The sequence below is a fragment of the Homo sapiens genome, chromosome 8, assembly GCF_000001405.40.
Source record: "Homo sapiens chromosome 8, GRCh38.p14 Primary Assembly".
NCBI lineage: Eukaryota > Metazoa > Chordata > Mammalia > Primates > Hominidae > Homo > Homo sapiens.
This window is the reverse complement of record NC_000008.11, coordinates 76,842,431-76,869,155: the sequence shown is the minus strand read 5'-3', so window position 1 is coordinate 76,869,155 and position 26,725 is coordinate 76,842,431. Positions and strand designations below refer to the sequence as shown.

Sequence of the window (26,725 nt, the reverse complement as noted above, 5' to 3'; positions counted from 1 at the left end):
TCAATTCTCATTTATAGAAGAGGAAAGGCTCATATCACTTACTTTTGTGGGTTACTGTGAGGATAAAATGGAAAGATGTCCATATAGTGTTGCGTAGAGTAGAGACTCCCAAACTCACTGTATAAAACTCATAGAGAACTATTTACAAGTGAGGTTATCCTTTTCCTGAGTTTGAATATCTACTATATGACAGGCTACATCTTTAGGGACCATACCTAGAATATTTTGTTGTTCAATAAATGGATATACAGTAAACACACATTGCAGGAAAATGAGCCAGTGTGGGCACAAAACTCTGGGAATCTAGTCTAGTCCAGTGGGAGTGGGGTTTGGGGCTCTAACAGTACTGGTTCAACCAGTAACCAACTTATTGGTTCACTCTTGAAAAGAGCAAAATAAAAATCCCATGGAACTATACCATCATTTTTGTGATAGGTAGGTAGGCTAACCTTACCAAGTTCATTGCTACTTTTGATCTGCTAAAACATGTGAATTTGGTTCACTAGAGAAATAATACTTCCTCTGATACCACCATGGGGCTTTGCTTTCTCCCTTTAATGGCATTTGAACAAGGCCCTTCTGGTCCTACAATAAATATTATACAGGAATACTTTTATACATGAGGAAATATATCTTTTACCATGACAATCCAGGCTTTTCTATGTTAGGAAAAAAAAAGTCAGGTTAACATTCAGTTTTTCAATGCAGACAAGTGATCACTAGGGAGGGAACCAAGATCAGAAAGTTCATTTTAACAGGGACCTGAACTTGGCCTCAAACTTAAAACATGGTCTCAGAGGTACAAGCGTAGTGTGTTAAATGTTTTGCCTTTTGAATATTTGATTTCAGCACAGAAGCTACAATCTAGCCTTATCCTAATGGTTTTCTGTCACTGCTGCCAACAGGAAAAGAGTTGTGACCTGCCTAATACAATGAAAGCAGCTTTTATTCACTTCCAGTGATGCACTAGAAAATAGCTCGATAATGCCAAGAAAGCATGTAAAACAAGGGAACCTCTACTACATTTCCAAATCAACCTATTTATATTTTCTATTTGAGGTTTATCTGTACCTTATAACACAGAATTCGTTTCTTTGGGGGCTTTCCAACTTGAGTGAAATTGGTGGGTCTGAGCAAAGAGCAGAATAAGGAAGAAAAACCACGTGCAAAATGCTTTGCCTTCTGCCATTATCAATGATAAGAGTGGGTTGAAAAGCGATGCTCTGAATTAAAAGTTTTCTGTGTTCAGTTGAGAGGGCTAGGGGTGAGAACCCACTGAGAACACTAAGCAGAATGGACCTTTCATTTCTTCTTTAGCTGACTCGCAGATGAAGTGAGCTTTGTGAGAGGGAATGTTTGCATTCAGTATAAATGAAAAAGTGTCTGGTCTATATCCAAAAGCAACATACAGGTGTTGAAATTCTAGCAGTAATACTAAAAGTAATAAGTTAATGAACTCTGAAATGAAATTATTCCATTTGTCAAAATCTGTTTGCCAGATTTTAAAATCTAACAGGGCATGCAGCATATGGAACATTAAAGTGTGGATACCCATTGTAGGCATAAAGAGTGCTACTGAGAAGCATGAGTTTGCCTGTTAAAGGATATAGAATTGGCCTAAAAAAAATCACAATTATTTATGTGACATGCTAACATTTTTGTGCCATTAAAATGTGTTGACAATAATGCCGTTATTTAACTTTTAATAATCCATGTGTCTATTTTTCTGGATTGCTTAGTGGCTGCTTAACACAGACTCCTGTTAGAGCAATCTGGTAATTCAAGTGGCCTCCCTTAAGTCACCTTCAGGTGGGGGAAATTAATACCTTGTGCAAATATTGCAAAGTCAACTCAGAAAGAAAACACATAGTAAATATGTAGATACAGTTTTTAATGTATCACAATGAGCAACAAACATACTTGATGAACTATTTCCAGAAGAATAAGTTCAAATACCATCTACAATAAACATCATTTCAACTATGACAACAGGTCTGTGACAAAATAAAAAAAAGTTTTCAAAACCATGTTATTTACCGTAATACGGTGCATTTGAGACTTCAAACATTACAGTAACAAAAACTAATGAGACTACTCTCTATATATAAAACATCAATAACATTTTTGGTTTAGTTTATTTAAAGTTATAGCCATAGGGGCTTTTATTAAAACCTCAGGGTGCATTTCCTATGTAACCCAGGCGTTGAGAGTACATGTTGTGTAGACAATGATTGCGCTGTGATAATCCCTTTGATATCCAGGAAAAAACAATTCTCATTCTCAACCTTTGGAGGCTGTCCTTTTATTTCTCACCCTAACAACGTCCATCCAGTTAAAGTTTTTTTTCTTTTTTTTTTCTTTTTTTGGCTGCTGTGCAGTTGTAAAAGTTTATGTCGACACACTGTCGGAATAATCATTTGTAAAACAGTCCTTTGTTTTGTGAAAAGCGTTCTGTTCCATGCTAACACACTGTTGCACATCGTGTTAACTGCCAGGACAGATCGATCTCACAATGCTGCTGCTTAACATTCATGAAAAAGGCAAAAGCAATTTTCTGAAGCCTTTGGATTCAGGACATTAGCTCACTATAGCGGCAGGATTGCACCTTAGGAGGCCATGTTGTCTCTTACGAAACACAATCAAAAAAGTGTCTTCAGGATTAAAATAAATGTTAAAATACTAAAAAAAAAAAAAATCCAAATTAAAGACATTAAAAAAGTTCACATAAAATGTATAGAATAAAGATTGCTGTGATCATCATCCGAAACAAAAACTGTACAATAATAAAATGTAAAATGAAATGTGTCTTGATTTGATCATTAAAACAGTTTGAAGCATGACTTGAGTTAAACTGTCAAACAGTTGCATTACATGCTACTTGTTCATCTCGGAAGAGAAATATCAAAAGCAATACATTTTGCATTTCTTCATATTAATAAATTTGTACCATGCACAGCCAACTACAAATATGTACAACAGCTTAGCTTTCTTTGTTCACAAGCCTTTAACTTTCTTACAAATAACCTTCTGTTACTTTGGAATGAATCACATTGTTTTACTATATCAAACACAAAAGTGATTCGTAAAATACCCTTTGACAGCTTTCACATTCTTTAAGTTCCACAGCAACAGAAAAACAGCAAAGCATAGCAATTTATAAATCAATTCACTGGGTGGTGGAAGTTGAAATTCATGGCAAGCAAAACAAAAATGTTAACACAGTAGCAGCAAATGTTGATAAAGATAATACTTTTAATGCATATATGATAAAACAAAACAGGTTAAAAAAAGTATGTAACAGAACAATACAACACAAGTGCCCAGAGTATGAATGGAAGTACAATAACCTATCCACTAAATGGCAGTGTATAGGGATATCACTGAATTCAGTCCTACGTGCGCAGGGCTAACCTCTTTATACAAAACAAATTTTTAGTCCCCTTTTTATTTTTTAAAGCAGCTTCTTTGCTTTCCCGAGAAGCAAATATACCTTTTCATAATTTTTGTTCAACTTGTACTTAAACAGTTTCAAGTATACAGTACTACTTTCATTTATGCACCAATTGTTAAATAGGTCTTTGGGTTGTTAGGAGTTAAACTTCTAACAAATGCAGACCAAACTGTTGCTGCACTACACACAAAGAAAGGAAAAAAAAGGTATCTTATTAAATTTCACATGGTCTACAAAATCATAAGTGCACTAGAGTTCAGACACAAGCAAGTACCTTGACAGTATAGCATTAAATTCACAAATGAAAAATGTCCTGTTCACATAATCCTCAGAGTCTATCAAAACTAGAATTATTACCTCTTTCAGAAAAAAAGAATGACGTCAGAGGTAAAAGTGAGAAGGTAGAGTTGGCACAGATTATTAGTATATTCTACAAGAAAAGGGTGACACTGGTATAAATATAGCTTGTGGCAATACAAACTGCAATACACAGGGCAGACACATGATTCCACTGTTCCAGATTCCCTCTGCGGTAAAACTGTACTATCCTGCAGCGTGAGCTCAAGGATCTGTGTGTTGTCCAGTAAGGGTTATAAAGTCTCTTTGTACACTAAACACACCTAGAAAATGCTTTCTAATAAAGATTGACGTTTGGGGAAAAGTCACAGTTTTACCAGGCTTCTTGCTGCTTTTAACAAATGAGAAATGTTATGTTCTGACCTGAGAATTTAAAGCTACTGAATTACACCTAACTAAACTAAGAGAAATTCTCTTTGAAACATCTGGATCATCCTCCCATACAGTACATGCTAGCATTTGGAAATCAATCCAGCTGAGGTGCAATTTGCTTTCTTGAGAGTTTTTGGCTTGAAACAAGTTCCAAAAGAACTTGTGAGATTTTTTTTTCCTTTTCCATATTTTAGCATATAGTACAAGCGCATTCAACCATCTGCATCAGTTCTGTCCATTACATACCATCCTATATTGCCAGCATATCAATATGGGAAAAACAATCCTGAGTCAATCATTTGGTACTGTAATTTTTGGGTTAGAGAAGCTTTGGAACTGCAGTTAAAGTCTTATTTTTTTTTTATTTTTTTATTTTTTATTTTTTTAAGCACGGGATCCTGTCTTCACTCCTACACACTGAACATATCCATTCGGATGCTATTGAAATTACCATCTAGGCCAGAAGCAGGCTTAGCCTTCACTTCCAAAGAATTATCTAAGTCTTCTAGCTTCTGGCTCAGCTCACTGTCAGACTCATCTGAACAACTTTCTGTGGGTAGTGAGGTTTGAACCCCTGAGGTGCTGCACAAACTTGAGGTAACCGTTGAAGGCAAGGAAAGGGAAGGAGGAGAAGAAGGGGGAGAAGCAGCTCTCCTGGCAGACGCTTGGAAAAGGATATTAGGCCAGGACTTCATGGAGAAGCAAGAAAGATGAGGATAGGTGTTATTAGAAGAAGCTGCAGACTGCGAGGTAGATGTGGTGTTAGGATTAGGGGAGCAGACTGAGTGAGGTAATAATCTAACATGCTCTTTGGCATTTCTCATTGCTTGTTTGATTGTTTTCTCTTTGTGCAAGCTTGACTGGAGGTGTTGGCTAAGTGCTTCATTCCCACTGATAGCCACATCACAGGCAAGACACTGATATTTGCTGACTGGGACACGAAGCACTGTCTCTTGTGGGTCAATCAAAGGCTGACCGAAATAACAGAAGGACTTTTGATGATTTACTGCGGCGTCTTCATCAGTAAACATCATCTGGCACTTTCTGCATATAAACTCATACTTGACGAATGGAACAACGTAAGTGTCTGAAAAGTCTGCACTTTTGGATTCTAACTGGGGTTCTTCTTTTGTGCTTTCTGTAGCAGTACTTTTGTCTTCCTTTGTTTCTGAAGCATCGTTGGAGTTTTGCGGCTGGTCACTTTCTACTTTGGATGTCTTTGCCTGAACTGGTTTCTGCTGCTGTTCTTGCTGTTGCTTTTGCTGCTTTTGCAGGGACTCCTGCAGGTTCTGCTGATACTGTTGGTACTGCTGCAACAGTGCACCTGGGGACAGACCTGCCAGTGTCTGGGGCATTGTAGGGCCATAAGGAAAGAGGCTCTCCATGCCACAGACAGGTGGGAAGTATCCCCCCTGCACTGTTCCAGGGAGCTGAGGTGTAAAATAAGAAGCAAACCCAGGGATAAAGTATGGCAAGAACTGTCCGCCTATAAAGGAAGCTGGGTCACCAGCAATTGCATTCTGTAATGCCTGCAACTGAATAGGATCGACATGTGTTTCACCTACAACTTTGCCCAACACTGAAAGAGCAGATGAGATTTTTTCCTCTTTTTTGGGGTGTTTTTCGGGTTTGGTGGCCTCTAATTCCTCCTCTTTGATTTTTTTCACCTTGTTTGGCTTAGTTTGCTTTTTCTCAGATTCTTTGTTCTGTTGCTCGGTCTGCTGTCCTGACAGAGAGGATGAAGGAGGAGGAGGAGGAGGAGGTGGTGGAGGTGGTGGAGTCTGCAGCAAAGGTTTGGTGGGGGCACTGCTGAGAGACAGGGCAGGAGACGAAGTAGCTGAAGTAGGAAACCCAAGCATGCCTGCACCGGGAGGTGTTAAAGCTGAAAACAACAACAGAGAGATGGCCACTGTCAATGTACAGACCAACATCGGAAGGCTGTATGCTTAACACCTAAATAGAACTCACTAAGGACATTGCTATATCAGAAAAGATGTATTACACACAATAGGAAATTCATGATCACCACCTAGAACTTCAACATGGGGCTTTCCTGTGTTTATAATATTTCTTATATTAGTTTTAACCCCCACCAATAACTCTAAGAATGTAAGCTGCATATTTTAGCAACATTTTACTCAGAAAACAGGCTCTCATGCTATGAAAGATGAATAACAAAAAACATCATCGTGAACTATAGTGGTTCCTTCCAATTGATACACCTTGCAAGATCCCTATTCTGTTATTTATTTTAAGCAATTTTTACTATACCTCTGGGAAGGCAGACTCTCTCCGTCCTTCACTTGAGCAGTTTGATAATTACCACGTTCACTAAAAGTAATTAGCTATCAAATACAATGAAATCCATCTGCCTATGTTCCAGCAGAAAAATACACTTACATTGAACAAAGAAGGTGATAAGCTAATTAAATAGCAATAGTAAATGACCACTGAAGACACCAAAAAACAAACAGCAGCGAAGTCAGAGCCATTCATTACTAGGACTGAACAAGGTTAGCCAGGATTTCATTTTTAGGAGTGTAGGTTAAGTTGTTTGTTACCATCCTGACAACTTGCCTAACAGGGTACTTGACAGGAACTGCATATATTAACAGTCAACTTTACCACCCCCAAAACATGCTTCTTCCAGGTTTGCTTGTAGTACGCAAACATGATTCTCACCTCATTAGAGATGGGAAACTAAATGATCAGTAGGCAGAAACCTGTGGGTACAGCATAACTCCTAGAGGAATGTAAAAGATCTTTGCTTTGTTTCAAGTACCCAGTATAATGTAGTGGCTGATAATAACCTATTACACAGCCATTTTTATGAGCTAGATAGTTGGCTGGGAAACTGAAGGACAGCTCAGGATAGAAAAGGGACTTGTAAAAGCCTGTGCCTTTTTTGAAGATGTTTTTAGAGGCAAGTAAAGTTGACTGCAAAAGGAACAGACCAGAAGTCTAATGGCTGGCTGACAGTAATTCATTCTTGAACAAGGGAAGGCTCACTACCAAATGATCATGACAAGGACTGTGATGGAGGTCTGGTGGGCGGAAGGAAGAATTAACCAGGAGAAGGTGAATAAAGTTTAATTATCAATGCATAGCTCTAGAGGGAATGATCATGAGACTTCATAGAGCCATCTTGTTAATATTGGTCATAGTCTTACCTCCATGCTAAATGCAACATGTGAGTGTTAAAAAAAAAAGGAGAGACAGAAAAACTGTATGCTTCTTTTTCTTTAGCTAAGAAATAATAAAAAAATAAAAAATAAAAATAAAAAACCTCCATAGTTTCTTAATTGATCTTTACCCAACCGAGAAAGCTTAGCATTCAAGATACTGTGAAGTCAACATCACTCCTTCCTTGACCCTTATCCTTATCACATTACCCTCAATTAACTTAGGGTATTATTGGCTGCTCCTCTTTTTAACTTTGCTACACTCAACTCTTCTCTGACCTACTTTGATATAACTTCTACAGTTTTAATAGTGATAGACTCTAAGGAGTTTACATGATGTTAGAAAACAATCTCCCAACATCCTTAATGGCAATGGGGAACTGCTGCTAAACATTCCATTTTTAAATAAGGAAACCGAGTCCTAGGAGTGTTATGACTCAATGGCAGATGAGCTAGAGGAGACTAAATTTTACAGCTGTCACTCCAATTTATCTTCTGGTTTAACTGAATCAATTTCAGGGGTTAAATAATTCAAATATTTAAGATGCAAAAAGAAAAGAAAATCCTGGAAAATAATGTTATATTTCCAGAAAAAAACTGACAGCAAGTACACACATTTTACTGAAGAATGGCTCACACATTAAAAATAAATTTAAATAAAGATGGCCCAAGCATTACTGGTATATGATAGGAATGAATGAATAAACTCTCTGATCTTTAATCCAATTTTAGTAATAGATGTCTAGATTCCTGGGACTTAGACCTAGCCCTAGGGAAAACTGTGAAGTAATAGATATGCCTTTGGGGGCCCACAAGCATAACTCCCTTGCCTTTATTCCTACAGTTCTATGTCTGGGATTGCGTTTCCACTTGCCTGTTTATAAAAATTTATTGGCAAGAAAGAACTGAAGAAATGAATAAAGTAGTACGAAAAAGGTTCAATATATACCAGATTCAATAATTTTTTAGGTTTCTTCCTGCTATGATATTCTGATTTCACCACAGTATACACTATTTTCCATTCGACAGTTAAAGGAATTAGTATCTAATTATAAAATTTCAGGCCTGAGTGATTCAGGTGGAGGAGGCTTTACTTGCATTGCTAAAATATTACATTGGTAGCCAGCTTCCTTTGCCTACTCACAAAACCAACCTTAGTTCTAGATCTCATAACAGTACAACTTCCTCATAAATAATTTTACCCTCTTTCACCTAATTTCCCCCCTAAATCTGAGGAAATTACTGGCTTACCTGTCTCCGACATGAAAATTTAAGACAAGATAAATTTTAAGGAATGGAGACATGAAAAAATAGCAATTGTGGTTAGAAAGCAAGATGGAGCAATAGTTGTTGACTTAGGTTTTCCCATCATGAAGGGTCTACATGTTTTTATCTAGGGTTACATAATGAAGTAATAAAGATTTTTAGAAGACTGCAATAGGAATCCCAAATAATCCTAGATCAAAGATTATCAGGAATTTTGAAAAAAATTCAACATCTTGAGGCAAAAAGCTGAGTTAAATAATGAGCTACTCTAAAAATTTTGGGAAAAGAGATGTAGATTAAGAATAATAAGCTATGTGCATTTGGCTTACTAGTAAGATAAATAAGCCTATAAAAATTTGCAGTAAAAATATCAGTAGCCAGAAAACCAGAAATAGAGGAGAAAAGCTGAACAGCAATAGAGATGTAGAGTAAGTGGTGGTAATTTACAATTAAATGCGTGTCAAATTTTATCTTTTATCTAGTTATACTGTTAAATATACATTCTTTCCCATTTCCCAACTCCTACTGCAGTTCTCAGAAATTTCACATAGAATTAAAAATGTTTCTGTAAATAATCTCATACTACCATCATTTTGTTGGGTTTTCTTTCTCTGAAATAGCTACCTTGTCCTGATAGTAATACTTTCAGAAGAAAATGCCTGCTTCTTAACGCACTCATATGTAGTTCATTTTCTCCAAGTTTCTTTGACTGAGGTCCCTCAAGTTTATATTTGAGGTTGGAAATGAAAATAATTATGTACATGGGGCCAAAGACAATTGTGCTAAAATTATTAAGGACTTACTCTTATCTACATTTACCCCAAATGTGCTAGTAAATTACATTAAAGTATGAGAAAAATGCAAAAGGCATGTTCTAAAGTTCCATTTAAGGAAATCAGCTTAGGCAGTATTTCCAAACACTAATGGAACATTTAAAATCAGACACTGCTTAAAATGATAAAGTAAATAAGTTAAAAATAGAAAAGCAAATAATTTTTTTATTCACTTTGAGTGTAATCCCAAAGCCAGCTAACACTCTAAAGGATAAAATATAAATTTAAAGTTTTCTAATTTTTCCAGGTATATAAACATACGTTGATATTCTATGGCCATTTTCCCTTTTTTATGTATGATCATGATACAAAAACTAGGATGTGAACAAAAATTAAAGAAAAAAATAATTCATCCTATTAAAAAGTGAGCAAAGCAATAGTAGGTAGTGATACTGAACACAGGGCTGGCCACTGTTTAGGAAGCAGGCATACATGATGAATATTACCCTTGAAAGGGCCTTCTTAGTAATTTTGAAGGAATAAAAAATTTGCAGATTTCTTGGAAGATAAGAAAGTTTTGTGAGCATTAAAACCGATATCCAACCAGAAAAACAATTCTACCTCCCAAAATAAAATAAAGTGTATGTTTAAATCAGGAAATTCAGAAGTTGATAAATACTAAAACCGAACATTTTTACACTGCAATTAAGCTAATTTTGGGGCGTAGCCTTTGAGTAAACTCTTATGTTCATCTTACATTCACTGAAGCGATTTTTAGTGATTTCCTTCTAATCAAAATCTTGGAACCTACTTTCAAAGGGATGGGACATCCTTAAAATGAAGGCTTTTCCATAACTAAATCTTATTAAAAAGGAGCCAAGGGGAACTTGTCATATTCTCAAAGATGTTCATATTGATAACAAATTGTAGCAACGGCCCAGGGCTTGTAAGAAACGCAGAAATATTTTACTTATAATGTTCTTTTGATTTTGCCTTAACTGGTATGTTTATCTCTCCCATTAAGCAAAGAAGATAATTGTTTGGTGACAGATAATACAGTAGAAAATGATCATGGGAAAATAGAGAACCACAGCTCTACTGAGCTGGTTGAAATAGTCAGCACTACCCACCATAAGTAAATTAACCTAATAAAGACATGAACTGAAAGTGCAGGAACTCAGGCGCTCAGGTGGGGCCCCACTGGTAATTCTGCTGTGTTAATGTTTAAAATCTCTCACAAAGGACTAAGTTGAGAGAAATTGAAAATTTCAGTAGGTAGCAATGTTCATGGAGCTTTTCTCTTTATAACACTCCCCAGTCTGTTTCAGTCCACGATTTAATAAAGCAGCAGATATAACAGATTTGAGTTCCTGGGTACCTTGTGTGTTTAAAGATACTCCTATCCGTGGTGTGACTGCCTCCAACATCTTCTCACTAATGCTATTACAAATAGGGCCTGTATTTTTGGGAGAGGATATAATTTATGGTGAATAGAATGAGGAAAATATTAGTCTATTTAAATATTTCATAAACATCTCTTTTCCTCCTTTCTCACTTTCTTTCACCTAGGCCCTCTGGGCGCCCATATCAGAATGACTGACCAAAGAGCAGTTGGCAGAAGGACCACTGTCCGAACAAAGGCCTTCAGACTCAGTGGAGAAAAAACAAGATGCTTTGACCACCACTTATTGGGATGACAACACAGTCATCATCAATCAAAGTAGACTTGTAGATTAAAGGTACAGATATTTCAACTGTTTTCAGCCCATGTAAAGATATCAAAACTCTTCTATTTTACTTAACTGATCACAGAAATCTTTCCATATAAGATATTTTTCTGAGTCAATAATCAGTGGTATATAAAATGGGACCAGAAAATAACAAGACTCATACCATATGCAAAAAAAAAAAAAAATCTGTCATTGCATTATTCTTCAAACACTTGTATTTTACTTAAATAAAATGTACAACCAAAACACTTAATTATAGCTCTAATATTTAAGACTCCAAAATTGTCTAGATAATGAAGCCCAAAGTACCTTTGGGGTGAGGGAAGTTGGTATGACAGTTCAAGGAAGGGACATGGCAGACATTTTCTTGGTGACATTCTTTATATGTATAGTTCCATTCTGCTTCTCTCAAAAACCAGCTGACTCAGAACAGAAAACCAGGTAAGCTAGCGGTGGCTGAGGGGCCATAGGATGTCATTGTTTTCACACCTCCCAAACTAAAAGTTAAAATAGGAATAACTTAAGATCACAGTGGCAATTTTGTTTTTTTGTAAGAAAATCATGGAATTGAAAAGTTTGAAATTCATGTAAAAATTCAACTTGTAAAAATGAAAAAAGCTTTCCTTATTTTTTGTAAATGTAGATATATATATATATATATATATATATAAAATTAGTGAATTCTAGATGTCCCTTTAACATGTTAAATTTTCCTTTTAAAAAGAAAAAAATCATTGATAATTTAGAAAACAAAACTTACTTAAATTATAAAAGAACCATGTTTTCCTATTTTGGGTGATATATAACTTTCGTTATATTTTTGGCTACATGATTGGCTAGCACGTTATATTCCATTTCTTTAACATAATATAATTGAATACCTATACTTATTCACAAAATCTAAACTGTGCAAACTGCATATCTTTTGATGAACACACAATTAGATTCAGCATCTGAGGTTGCCTCAAACAGCTTTACAAATTTGTTATGCCTTAAGTAGAAACTTTAGCTGGGGCTAGGGGTGAGGGAATAAAGGCATGAAGTAATATTAATGTATTTCTAAGGTTGCTGAATTTATTTAAATAACAAGTAGCAATGCATGTTACAAAACTCAAAATTGTATAGCAATGCTAAATTCTGTGCTATCACAGAAGTCATATTTTTAGTTGTTGAACTTCAAACATAAGTCCTATTAATCTGCTAGGAACCATGTGGGTGAATACCTGTGGCTGAAGGACTCAACTTTTGAACTCTGGGTGTCACAGGGTGGCGGCGGGGGGGACAAACAAAAACACCACCACCCCATCCCTTGGAAAGAACATAAATTAAGATACCAATAAATATATTATTTAATGTTTCATTTTTCTTAATATGTGTACCAAATACTAAGCCACATGTGAGTGCTGGAATGCCATCTGAAATCAAGATTGAAATTAGTATAAAAATAAAATATTTCTATGACATGGAGCTGTAATGATACAAATAATTAATATATATCTGAGAATCTGCTGTGATCTACCTAGTCTTTATTTTTCTGTGTGTGTTTCAGGTTGACCTACTTCCTGGTAATTAGCTATAGCCAATATAATATATACTTTAAATAATGTATTGATTTCACTAGCTGAAATTAAAAGAAATCCAAAGGCACCCCGTTCTTGGTTACATGTGACTGTCTACCTGATGCTACTTAATTAACTAGACTGAGTCTCCTTTAAATGACTTACTGTTTGAATTTTGTGGAAATCCCGGCAAGGAGGATGGACCGTTCATTCCGGGGAGAAGGACTGGAGGAAGGCCGGGGAGTCCGGGGTAGGCTGTTGGCAGGCTGATGCCGTGGAGAGAACTGCTGTCCATCATGCCTGGCTGCTGTACCGTCAAGCCCAGCACGTCTGAAGCTTTCTTTATACGATCAAGTTCTTGCTGTGCCATCAGCTGCCGAACCGTGGTCGGAGCCAAGTAATCTTTCTCCCGATCGAGCTGACTGCCAACGGTCTCCCTCACTTTTGAAATGTGCTGTTTGGAGAAAATGTGATCTCTGATGGACAAGCGGGCAGAGTACTTCACCCCGCAGAGGGTACACTCTGGTTTGGTGCCTTCCGTTCCGCCTTGATTGATCATGAAAGGCTTCCCTATGTTAATTTTAAATTTCTTTTCCTTTGCCCTTGCATTTTGGAACCACACCTGGACTACGCGTTTGGGCAGACCAATCTCATTCCCTAACATTTCACATTCTTGCATGGTTGGAGTTCGGTAGTCACTAAAGCAAGCCTTGAGAACCTTGAGTTGAAGATTGCTCATTTGCGTTCGAAAACGCTTGTGACCCGGCCGATCATTACTTTTGGATTTAAAGGGATTGCTGGATCCGAATGGATTTGGGGAGCTCGGGTCCGCTATGCTGGACGTTTCGCTGCGGTCGGCGTTGTCATCCGGGTCATCTGTGATGTAAAAGCTTTGGTCGTGGTCGCCATCTTTGTCATTGAAATGGATGGATGGGCTTGTGAGAGAAAAGAGAAATTTGTCATCGCAGACCTCCGTGGTAGGTGTGGTTGCAGGTTTTGGCAGAGTATCCAGAGTTTTTGGCTCTTTGGGAGACAAAGCCGGTTTCACATCTCCGGAACTTCCTGTGGTGCTTTCCATTTCAGTGTTTCCCTCGTCTCCGGTGGTGGCGTCACTGATTGCCGTATTAATCGATGAAGTCTCATCAAAATCGGTTTTATTTTGATCATACCCAGCCTCAGCAGGAGGGGCATTTAAATTCTCTACATCCTCAGAACACTCTGCTTTAAAAGAAGAAGGGCTTAAAAGATTCTTCGGTGACAGCTCTGCTGTTTTACTAACAGGTGTTGACACTGTAGAAGCCAATTCATTCTCACTTGATAGATCAATTTTAGTTAATGGCAAAGATGGGTAATCAAAATAGATGTATTTCTGTGGGCTTTCTCCCCCATCTTCGGTGGATATTAAAGGGCTTGGTGGCAAGCTGTAACCTGCCTGCTTTCCTTCATTCCAGTGCCGAGAGCGAATGTGGCTTTCTAAGGCCGACTTTGCTTTAAACAGGGCTCGGCAAAACGGACACCGTTTATGAGACTGTGCTGGACCCACCGCCCGGAACTGGCCTTTCCTCTCCCGCGCTCGTGTATTCTGGAACCAGACTTGCACGACCCTTTTTTTCAGCCCGACTTCGCGGGCAATATGATCAAGCATTTTTCTGGTAGGATTGGAATCCAGCAAGTATTTTTCATAGAGTATTTCCAGCTGTTCCGGGGTGATCGTGGTTCTCAAGCGTTTATCTCGGTGTTGGTCTTCACCGCTATTCCCTCCTTCTTTTTCACTGCAATTATTATCTTCTTTATCGTCTAGTTTCCTTTTTAGGGAAGCAGCAACCGTTGTGGGGGCTGTGGTGTGGGAGGAACTGGCCTGAGGGGGCATTTGAGTGAGGGAACTGCCCAGCAGTTGTCCAGTCATCAGCGGATTGTTGGGGTCAAATATCATGTAGGGCATGTCCATGGGCCTTTCCAAGAACGGAGAGTGAAGGAATTGGTTTTGAGCAGCAAGGAAGTGCATGTGCTGGTGTTCCTGCCAGAGTTCCAGAGTTGGGAAGGCAACTGTACACTGATCACATTGGTATTGTAGTAACTGTGGAGGTAGACTGTTCTGGAGAGACGTCATGGAAATTTGCAGTGGACTGGAAGGGACCGGTGTTTGAGAGGCCGAGGGAGGTCTTCCGATAAGTTGGGGTTGTTTTGGTGGCTGTGGCTGTGGCTGTGGCTGGGCTGTGGATGCCTGTGGTGGGTCCGAGGAAGTCGATGCTAATGGCAGGGCTGGTTTGGTGCCTTGAGAAGGGGGAGAGGGGTCACTCTGCTTTGGCTTTTCTGCGGGATATTCAGGTTTTGGAGAAGTCTTCTCAGGTTCTGGTTTGGGTGATGGAATCAGGGGGGTGCTGGTCCCAGAGCCAGAACTTGCTGCAGGGGCAGCAGCGTTTTTAGCTGCATCCGTTTGGCCAGACACTGTGCAATGCTTGTATACCACTTGATCAGTGGCATCCATGGAGTCTTCTGTTTGGCTTTCATCTTGGGCATCATCATCTTCATCCTTGTAACACTGCTTTTTCTGATGCGTAATCAAGTCAAAGATCCTGGGGAAAACCACATTGCACTTTTTACACTGGTACTGCATGTTGCTTGTTCGAATGTACCGTTCATTAGTGAGTTCTCTTTTTTCATTATCTTTTGTTTCTGCTTGATTCTCATAACTCTTTCGTGCTTTCTGACGAGCATTCTGGAACCATACAACAATAACCCGGGTAGGCAGATTGAGAACAGTGGAGAGTTGTTCTATTTCATCATCTTTTGGGTAAGCGTTTGTGTCAAAAAAGTCTTGCAGAACCCTAAGCTGGTAGTCAGTAAATCTCGTTCTAGAAGACCTTTTACTGAATGATGCATCAGATTTGTAATGTTCTAAAGAGGTGGGCTGTGGATCAATTCTGATATCTTCTAAAACCGTTATAGGAGGGTTACTGAAGTTGTATGGTGAATCTTTATTTCTCTGTCGTTCCTTAAAAAGCGTATTTCTAAACCAGTGTTTGATAACTTTTTGGGAGAGGCCAGATTTCTCTGCCATTTCCTGGATCTGTTCTTCACTTGGAGAATTATTAATGTCAAAATAAGCCCTCAGGATTTTTAGCTGATCATCTGTAATTCTTGTCCGTGGGCGTTTGAACTGAGAATGTCTTAAGAAGTTGGGATCTAATCCGAGCTGCTGCTGGCAAAGTTGGGTGAGGTCTGCAGAGAGTGCGTCCATCTGTGGCAGCTGCAGGGCAAGCTGGGGAGGAAGCGCAGGGTGTTGCACAGGTTGCATCATAATGGAAGGAAAGAGCGGCAGGTCCAGAGAAACCGGCAGTTGGACCTGTGGAGGAGCAGAAGGTGGAGGAGGTGGGGGGGGAGGAGGAGGAGGAGGAGGAGGTGGTGGTGGTGGGGGAGGAGTGGGTGGTGGAGCTTGCAGAGGAGTAGAAACCGTGTTGGGGATCTTTACAGGACCCATAGAAGAAGGCTGTGGAGGAGCCGGAGGCAAGGGAGGAGGAGGAGGTGGCGGGGGCGGCGTTTCTGGAGAAGATGGAGAAATTGGATAAAGCTTGTCATAGGCCTCCCTGTATTGACGAGCAAATTTTTCTAGCGCTGCATATGGAAAAAATTGCCCATGTACATGTTCTTGGTGACTCTTTAAAATAAGAACATTGGAAAACAATTTACCACATGTTCCACATTCTAGTTTGTCAGTGTTTTCGCCTTCACCACTTTTGCCCTTCTTCTGTACCTTCTGCCTGTTTTCGTTATACTGAATGACCAGTTCAAAACCAAAGTTTTCCAATAACGCTTTGGCAGCATTTCCTCTGGCCCCTGAAGCTATTCGGGGTGGTGGGATGGATGGTTCCAAGGATTTTTGCTTCTTTGTGTCTTTGCCTTCTTTGAGTCCTTCACCTTCACTTATAAATTCCTGCTTTGGTTTTTCTGGCTTTTCAGAAATATCTTCTGCCTCCTTATAAGATGGCACATCCTTCATGATTTGGCAGTCTGCACTCACTATGTTACTTTGCTCTTGTTTCAATAATTTGCTTGCCTGCTGTTGCTGCTGCTGCTGTGGAGGTGGTGGCTGCTGCTGTTGTTTTTGAGGCTGCAGCTGGGGCTGTGTGGCTTGGTATTGTTGTGCTTGTTGCTGTAGTATCTGGAGTTGAGTTTGACCAACGTGATGTTGGGTTTGAATCTGCTGCTTTAGGTCTTCAAGCAAGGAGCCAGCCATTCCTGTCATGCCAGGCATCCCAAATGTGGCAGAGCCTGGCAAGCCCAAATCTGGCCCCAAGCTGAACTCCGTCCCAGGTATATAAAATGGAAAGAGAAACTGAGGCTGCTGAAACTGCAGCAGTGCTTCTGGGGTCATAGGAAAATGAGGCAAAAAGGCTGGGTTTAGAAACTGAGGCTGAAAGAATGCGGCTTGCTGTTGTAATTCGTGCTGTAGTTGCATCTGAATTTGTGCTGGTGACTGTGGTGGGTGATGTGCAGGTTGAGCAGAGATTAAATCAGGAGTTTGCTTTTTATTTAATTCTTTGGCATCTAAATGGGTATCTTTGCTGTTTACAGCTGCTAAACTCATGGAATCTAACATCCCCTGGCCAGGGCTGTTGACATTTGCTGCAATGCTGTGCCCACCAGCCACATGACCACTGGGCTCCAGCTTTGCAGCCCTAGCCTTTGTCTGGTGGAGCACAGACCTCATGTGGATTTCCAATGTTGAGCTTTGGCTGTATGCAACATTGCAGATGCTGCACTTGTAGGGTTTGTTATCTGTGTTGCTGTTGGTTTCTTGTGGGACAGGACTGGAGGCTTCCTGCAAAACTTTTTTCAGCTTATGCAAGTGAGAAACTGAATTATAGTGGACCAAGAGAATGTTCTTTTGGGTGAATGACTCTTTACACACTGTACATTTATATGGACGAGATGGATCAAGGAATTTTTCCATCGTAAAATTGGGCCCTTTTCTAAAAGGTAAGGTCCGCTTTGGTTCAGAGCCCATGTCATCTGGAATAGAGCTACTATCACTTCCTACAGGACTTGCTTTCCCTTCGTGGTCCACCTCATACTCTCTCTCCATTTCCTGCTCTAGGCCATGGTCATCCTGGGACATAGTTTCGCTCTCTGCCCACAGTTCTCCATTCACGGGCAAGGAGGCATATAGCTGTTGAAGTTCAGCTTCACTCAGTTCAGGGTGGCCTGCTTCCAAGTGTTTTTTTAAAGCCTGGAATGTACGGAAACTGCGCTGGCAGAGGTTACACATTGTCGCAGCCCGAATTGCATGATACTGGGAATGTATCTGAAGCTTCTGCATAGTTTTGAAAGCCAAGCTACAATGGTTACAGCGATACTTGTAGACATGACGGTCAGAAACAGAGAGCGGTTGCCTTTTTTGCTGTTCATTTAATTGATCTTGCAGTGTGTCGGGGATTTTCACATCCTTACTGCTATTTTTATTCCATTCTGAGACTTCCAAGGGTTCTTTAGTCGGTTTCTGCTCCTCATTCTTTACTTCCACATTAGCCTTTGAATCCTCGAGACCTGCCATGCTTTTGTCATCCATTGGACTTTCACCTATTAGGAAAAAGCACAAACATCTCTCTTACAATAAGAAAACCTACTCCTTAAATATTAATTAATATTATAAATAGTAGCCTCTAAAGGCTTCTGCTTAATTAATTGTTTGAATAAATGTTTACTGAGCAACTACTATGTGGCAAGCACTGGACTGGGTACTGGGGATATAAAGGCAAACAAGAAATCACCGCTGGCCTCAAGAAATTACAGAAAAGGGAAGAAAGCAAGTCAAAGGTCATTAGAGCTTGCTGCAATTAGTGTGATACTAAGGGCCATCCCTTGGTGTTCATGAATTAGATCACACAGAATTTTCCTGGGTGTCTGACACTTGGGTCCCCTGAGGTCACTTACAGATAACCAGACACAAAATATGCCTTGGAAAATATGGCTCTTTGAAATGGCATACATTTTTCCCCTATGCTTTACGAAAATCTTTTGATAGTAATAATCTTTGGGCACCACCACAAATGCAAAGCCCCTAAGCGTATTGTTCACAAGTCTTGATGATAAGATGGCATACCTGAATATTTCCCAGACCCCTCAGCTGTCACGGCTGCAGGTGTGTCCCGCTCTGATTTCTCAGAGGCAGCTGCTGGCAGTAGCATACTGTTTGGCATCATCACATCAGGGACAGGCACCTTTGGAAACCAAAGGGGTTTATGTTAAATGTACCCCAGAAATCACAAATTCCATCACATCTCTCTTTTGCTGGTAGCATATCCCACTTACATTTGTTTATTTTAGCCAAAGCAGGGATGTTTTGCAGATGTTACAGATCAATGCCACACCTTGCCACTTTAGATCAATGCTGTGGCAATGTTGTATTATTATTATTATGGCTTAAAGGTTCCTGTAGGTTTATTTTTTTATAATGATAATGAAGCAAGTTTGAAATGCAAGGTGCCCACTGGGGTTATTTGATGAACATTATAGATATAAAAAGAAGACTGCAAAATAATGTTCTTTACTAAGCTATGCCTTGTACCATATTTTTTTCCAAGCAAAAGAGGTCACAAATGGGCCTTGAGTGTGACTACTATAACACGAGCAATAACAGAGCTTTAATTAGCTCTGAAGAAATACATTTCCATAAACCAATAATTACAGATTTTATATTGATATTCCTGACACAGATTATGTCACACATGCATCAATATTTGGTATCCTTACTGTCATAAGCAGCTTCTCCACACAGTCTGGAGACACACTGTGCAAATGCGTCAGATGCAGTTGGAGATGCATTTTGTTGCTGAGGACGTCCTGACAGAGAGGACAGCAGATGACCGGCTGCACCGAGTGCTGTGATAGGACGTGCATCTGGATACGACTTTGGTCCCTACTATTGTAGTTACAATAAGGACATTGATAGAACTGGAAAATATTGAATAAACATGGCCACTATTAGTTAATGCATTTCTTATTTGATACATAGTAGTTGTATTTTGGGGGTACGTGTGATATTTTGGTACATGCTTACAATGTGTAATAATCAAATCAGGGTAAATGGGATATCCATCACCTCAGACATTCACTATTTCTTGTACTAAGACCATTCCAAATCTTCTCTTCTAGCTATTTCAACATAGTTAATGTATTCTGATGACTTTAGAACATTAGAGGTAATACCAAGAGTTACATTGCCAATTGCAATGTCTACATACATTTCAACAGCATGGAATCATTTGGGGCTTTAAAACTATCAGGAGCAATAAAAAATAAAGATTTACACAGTAAAGGGGAAAAAAAGTATTTACCTGTTCATGACAGAATTTATTGTCCTCTGTAGGTTTTGACCTTTTTGTTGCAACATCCTCTTCTTTTGCCAGCAGGAGTGGCTGGGTACCCCCTGCCACACTAACTTTTAGTTCCTTCTCTGGTGTGATTATCCCTGATTCCCAAAAAGAATAGAACAATTCAATTTAAAAACACAATTCCGAAATGAGAAAAATTATGTTTTTCAAACATTTGCGACTCTAAACACACTGAATCACAAAAAGAACCGACAAGCATTTTAAATAATGCTAATCTCAAAAGGCAATAAGAACACTTCTTTTTGTCCACTGACTAAGTGGACTTTATAAATATATTTTAAAATGTACTCCTGTTTCATGTTTAGATAACCCTAGGTGGCCTGGAAAGATTCATCAATAACACATGCTCTCTGGTGTCTCAGAATGCCTTTACCACATTAAAGCAAATCTACTCCCTTTCACAAATACTAACTTAAAAAATCATTATTTCTACTAACATTTAATTACCTATCTCTTTTCTAAAATTCTTTGACACTTAAAATATTTCAACGTTCTGAGAAGGGCTGACTGGTTATAATTCAGAAACTCAAATAATAATAATTTTATGTCATGAATGGATTTAAAAACGGAAAGGATTGTAAAATTAATCATATGTATCTGCTGCTGCTATTAGTGATTTACTCTTTGCTGTAGATATTTCAGCAGTTGGCTGTACATATAACATTTAGTACAAATCTCAAGAAGACAATGGTTTTATGAGGTTAATCCAAATATTTGGTGTTAAAAATGATTTCAGATTTTGCCTAGACCAGCAGTGTAATGTGTAGGAGCCTCATATACATCAAAGAAAAGAGTGCAATTCTAATTTCCCAATCTAACAGAAAATTCTTTCCAGCATCAATTTGCCCGATAATCTCCTCTGCAAGGCTAGATATTACAGCGACATTGGGTAGGCATGTCACATACATCTCATGACAAACACAAAACCTCATTTACCAGCCATTCCAATCTCATCATAGCATGGCATCATCTGACCTTTTTTCTGCTGTTTATTATGAGTATTTCTAATTTTAACTTTCAATTTTCACCATCTTCCAGTCAATTTGCAACTAAATTATTTCCAGGGTGAGGACACTATCACTGGACAACTGGGTGCAAATACATCTTGAAATGCAATGAAGCTAAACCATTGATTGCTATCAGACCCCACGTAAATATATAGTCCAGGCGTAATCTGATTGTATGCTGTGCATGAAGATTTATCTTGATTTTTTTTCAATCCACATACGGTTCATATGAATGAACAAATTGCACCTTATTGCAAAATAACCCAGTTTTAATTTAGAAATAAGGTCAAGGATGTTATGGAAACAAAGTAAAAATAAACAAAAAAAATACATTCTATTTCAACTGTGGATAGAGATGCATGTTTTATACCTTATAAGTAATTTCAGAAATTTCAAATTCAGAAAGAAATATGAAAGCAAGAGTGATTCCATGCAGATCAAAATTAAAATATAATTTAAATTACATCATGACAATAATTTTATTCTCTTGGGGTTCATGGTAGATACAGAATTAATGCAAAGTTTTCATCAGATTATACTGATACTACTGATTTCTAGATTTACAAGCACTAGAATTTATTTGAGTTGGTACATTTGTCTTCATGTATATATATATGTGTCGGAGAAATTTAGGTTATTTCTAGATATTTGAAAAAATAATTTATGATATTTGAATTTGAATGAACTTAAATCCAAGAAAGACTGGAAAGTTTCATTACACTGATTTAAAAATGCCCAAGTATTTGATATCGAAAGATATGTCAAAATAGGAAAGTCATAATTCCTATTACCTTGTCATAATTAAGTCTGGAATCAAAAAATATATGTTTCTTTCTCAAAGCTGAATATACTTTGGAATATTGTTTTAGAAGTGTTAAAAAACAAACATTTAAGAAAACTATGATATTTTATATTTTCAAATAAAACTTACTGCTTAAAGTGTCAAACCAAGTTGTATAAAATCATTGCCATTTAAATCAACCAATGTCTATCAATTGCCTTCTCCTGTGAGATGTTTCTTTAAATGTTCCCCCACTAATAAGTAAGAATATGTTTCCTTAGGAGAATAATACTCTGTCATATCCCCTTATCGTTCTTTTGCGTACATGATGGAATTGGACAGGACCAATAAGTCGATCCAGGTCCCTGTGCCATCAAGGACTGTCACACACAAGTTAAAAGAGAATTTCCATGACTTAGTTGCTTGCAGGCCCTTTGGATCATCAGTAATAGAATAAATCTTTCAGAAACTTATAAATCTATTAAATGTATAGCTATGGACTCATTTCCATAAGCATATATAATGTGTATTTTATTCTTATATTGAGACTGTCAGGGATCAAAAAATGTATTGATTTCAAGATCTGGAACATTTTACTAAACCTACACACTGGTGTGCATAATGTATAATTAATACCATGTATATTAAGAATATATTTATTTTATTTTTATGCTTATTAATATTCATCAAAAATATAATTGCTTTTGAATTTAGTGATGTTCTATGCTGTATCAAAAAAGTAAGAGTTAAGTTTTAGGGTCACTATCACATGGCCGTTGCAACAACTGTTGGCTATAGTATTCAATACAGTTATGCGTCACCCTCAAAATTTTTCTGGCTAATTAACTTAAACCATAATCTTAATATAAGCCAGGAGCCTCCTAAAGACCATTTTGTTTGAAATTACCAAGAAGTTATAAATAAAAGCTAGAACATCTAACATTAGCTAGGTACGTCAAAAATGCATGGCACTGATAGTAAGAGGAAGTAGAGAATATTGAGATGTGGTAACATGACAAAACAGACTCTGGAGGATGAGGCAAGTCATCAGGATTATTTGTAAAGATGAAGGATGTTACATTCTATGCGTGTATGCCTTTCTTACTCAAAGGGATACTATCTTAGGTTTCATATTATGGCATCCCTGGTAAATTATAGAAAATTAACTCTGGGGTCTCTTTTCTAAGTTGTATTATCCTGGAAATGCCTATTAAATAAGGGTCAATTAATTTGAGGAAGGTTTTAAGTTTTATGATTGCTTATAGTTTATGCCTGCCACTTTATTTGAAGTAAACCCTGTTGATTACCCTAGATCAGAAAATTTTAAAATAGGATCATAATTTATTTTGTGTTATTGAGGACAACACAATATCCTCAAAAAAAATGTCATTTTCATTCATTTTAACTAAAAAATGAAGTCTAATTACAAATAAGCACTGCCAAATAGATGAAAAAAATGATTATCTGTCAGTTATGGGATTATTTAACTTGCATGAGATTGCTAATATAAAAAATGACATAATTCATTTCAATGCAGATGCCGCCTTCTTAATAATTTTCAATCCCTAAAATACAGAAGGCTGTAAACGGTTTATACTCATAACAAGTAAGAAAAATCCAATAACGCACATGTACTCAAAGCAAATCTTAATAAAAAAATAAAAGTACTGAGTTATTATTAATGAGTCAATGTATTTAATAAAGTTTGAATACTATAAAACTTGGATATAACAGATGTTATTCAACTCCAAATAATTATAAATTATAATTACCAGTACAGTATTCTTTCTAATGAGACTAGAATGAAAGGATAATTTTAATTGCAATAATGAAGGTTAATTTCCATCTTTCCTCATGTTTACTCCCTTATTAAAAAGTGGTCCCCTTAGCCAAGGCAGAGACATATTACATTTTCAATGCAAATGTATTAATCTGGATAAACTCTGTATTAATTCTTGTACTGCACAGGGCTATAATTTGGATTATAATTAATCTAAAGTGGCACTAGATTTAAATGACAATATAAATGAAGCATTAGAAGGCTTTTCTATTATGAATGAATATTCAACAAATATAACTTGCATATTGCCACGTCTCATTTTGAAAGCTCTACTCCTGCAGATTAATGTCAGCAACATAGCACAACAGCTTACACAAACATAGCCTTCCTAACATATGTTAATTCCTTCTTGTCTAAAAAATTCTATGTTAAAGTTGGGTCAAACTACTTCCCATCTAACGTATGAAGATAGTGATGAATTTGTAAGCTTGCTAGTATTTTTTTTACATTTATGACACATATAGAGAAAAACAATAAATGTAAGTGGTTATTCAATCATTAGAAATACATACAAGAGAAAATCCATGTAATAATATTTTAAACCTAAAAACATTCAATTCAGAAGGCAGAAAACTTTGTTAAATGTTCATGTTAGTTGTCAATCACAAGAGCTGTCTTGAAGGCTAGAAGGTTTTAAAGATAAATATTTGCATTTCAGCAACTGCTTTTAGTTGGTCCTTGCCTAGAGCTTATTTTTTATCCCTACAGAAAAACCCAGGAAGGCATTTATATGGGGATACAATTTGTTTTAAATAACTACCATTATACTATTGTCTATATCCTCTCAAATGCCCAAGTCTTGTCTGGATGGTACAATTAGGTGCCCAAGGAAGAATAGTAATTCATCAGCCCATTAGGGAGTGATTGAGTCCACTACTTTTGCGGAGCAGTAAGTGGCACTGGTAAAGATAGAGCCTTGGCATCTGTGCTATGTTCCAAGCCAGATTCTTTCCTCAATGGTAAAATTAGATCCATTTTTCTAGAGATTCCCAGAATCCATCCTTTACAAGGTACTAGATATTAGACATTTGAGACCTGGCATAATGTCATATACCTCGGGATTACATGGGCATTGAATTAACACAAATCAGATATCTCTGTTATACATTCTTCTGAAGAATGGGAAGGATATATTCCACAATCTGTTTTGGTACTACTATGTGAAAGATGCCACTGAATACAGACAGAACCTTGCCCTCTCTGAACCAGGCAAGCAGCTAATTTGATAAGGTCCATCATAGAAAGTGAACAAACCACCTTGCTATTTCCAATCTTTTCCAAATAAAGTTTAGATGGTACTGTCTTTCATATTAACTTATCACTAGGTACTTCTAATTCCTCCTCAGTAACTTCAGGAGCCAGCTTACTAATATACAGCTATGGCTTCTTTTTACATTGCTTGCGGCTTAATACCAACCTTAGATCTTCTTTGTTTAAGTCAAATTAGAATCACATGTTAGACAGTATATCCTAGGAGCAAATCTCAGTGACGCTTTTCTCACTGGCCTCCTGAAAGAAATTTAGTACTGAACAGTGTGGGGAGGGGTGCAGAGAGGCCCTTCAGATAATTTTTAAAGGGAATGAAAAACTTAGATATGCAAAGACTGAAGTACAAACGTGGGATGATTCAGGTTTAAATAAACTTGCATGTAAAAATGATATTTTTTGCACAACCCAATGTCTTCATAGTGAATACAAACTCCTTTATATGTGGCTGTCACTAGAATTCAAGGAAAAGATAGATGACTACCTGAAACTAATAGGCTTGAACCCGTTTCAGCACTTCTTCTGCTTCAATGAGTCCAACATAATAAAACGAGGTATAGCGTGCAGCAAAAGTAGCCAATGTAATATTCATTGCAACCATAGATTTCCATCTCATACATACAAAGCATGGATGAAGTCATATATTTGCCAAATCAAACACAGAAAAAGCCTTAGGTATCCACACCAGATGCTGGCCTAGGGTTTGTTTGTGCACAAGTAAATGTCATGACACGAAGGTTTGTTTTCAAAGACAGTAGCTTTCATTACTGGGATTTGTCTATTCTAGAAGATCAAAATTACCCAGCACCTAATCCCTTTTCAATGATATTTCCTCTTTCTTAGGCTGAATCATCTGTAAACTTTTTCACTGGATTTTGTTTGAAATACCTCAAATAGATGCCCTAAAAAAGGGCAAATTCCTGAGTGTAAGTTGTAAAAAAGCAAGGAAAACTGCATTTATTTTTAGGGTTACGTGGTTTGGCGGGCGAATACATGTGACTGAATGACAAAATTCAAGTGATATCTAATCCTATGCTTATGAAAAATTAATATGCCATCAGAGGAATCACAAGTATAGCTAAGATTAATGAAAGGCGCTTAAAAAATTACAAGCACACAAACTGATTTGATTAAAAAATAATCTCACTGGTCGTCCTGTAATATTCTTCAACTTATCCACATCTATTCTGTCAGATGGTTATGATTAAAAATAGGTCAATGGGAGGCTACTGATAGAAATCACATGCAAAATGCACATGCAATGAATAGTAGTGGGAATGTTCAGACAGTTTAAAATGAATAAAAGCTTTTAATAAGTTTTGTGGGGTGGGGGGATGGTGAAGGAAGAGTTGATGGCAGGGAATGGGTATAGGGAAATGCCGAGGTGAAAGATTCTTGCATCTTACCAGAGTCTTTATTAGAGTTTTTGCCTTCACTATTGTCTCTCTCACTTGTGTCTTTTTCATCGTCCTCGGCCACTGCTGTAGGCTTAATAGCTCCTTCTGCCTCCTCACTTTGTTCTTCTGTTAAGAAAGGCAGACCAATCAGTAGAACTGAAAACCGCCCAAAAGTTCACACTGAAATAAACTAGGTGGCCACTTGAAAACTTTGTTATTTATGAATCATCTGCAGATATTCATACTCAAATGAGAACACAAATTTATGCAAAAGTCTATGCTGATCATGCTGACTGTACCAATGCAAATTTTGTATCTAAAGGATCTTCTTTTGTATCCATTGAGAGGAT

At 37.7% G+C, this 26,725-nt stretch overlaps 1 protein-coding gene across 2 annotated transcripts in view; it reads right to left on the bottom strand.

The window, feature by feature from the left end:
• Window positions 1-1,874: 1,874 nt before the first annotated feature.
• ZFHX4 (zinc finger homeobox 4) overlaps window positions 1,875-26,725 on the bottom strand; it is a 186,035-nt gene continuing 161,184 nt past the window's right edge. For both annotated transcript variants that reach the window (NM_024721.5, NM_001410934.1), the window contains exons 6-11: window positions 26,385-26,501; window positions 20,028-20,161; window positions 19,444-19,644; window positions 18,794-18,911; window positions 12,856-18,270; window positions 1,875-6,062 (exon numbers count right to left, since the gene is read on the bottom strand). In NM_024721.5, coding sequence (NP_078997.4) covers window positions 4,591-6,062; window positions 12,856-18,270; window positions 18,794-18,911; window positions 19,444-19,644; window positions 20,028-20,161; window positions 26,385-26,501 — 7,457 coding nt within the window. In that variant the 3' untranslated portion in view covers window positions 1,875-4,590. The remainder of the gene's footprint in view (window positions 6,063-12,855; window positions 18,271-18,793; window positions 18,912-19,443; window positions 19,645-20,027; window positions 20,162-26,384; window positions 26,502-26,725) is intronic.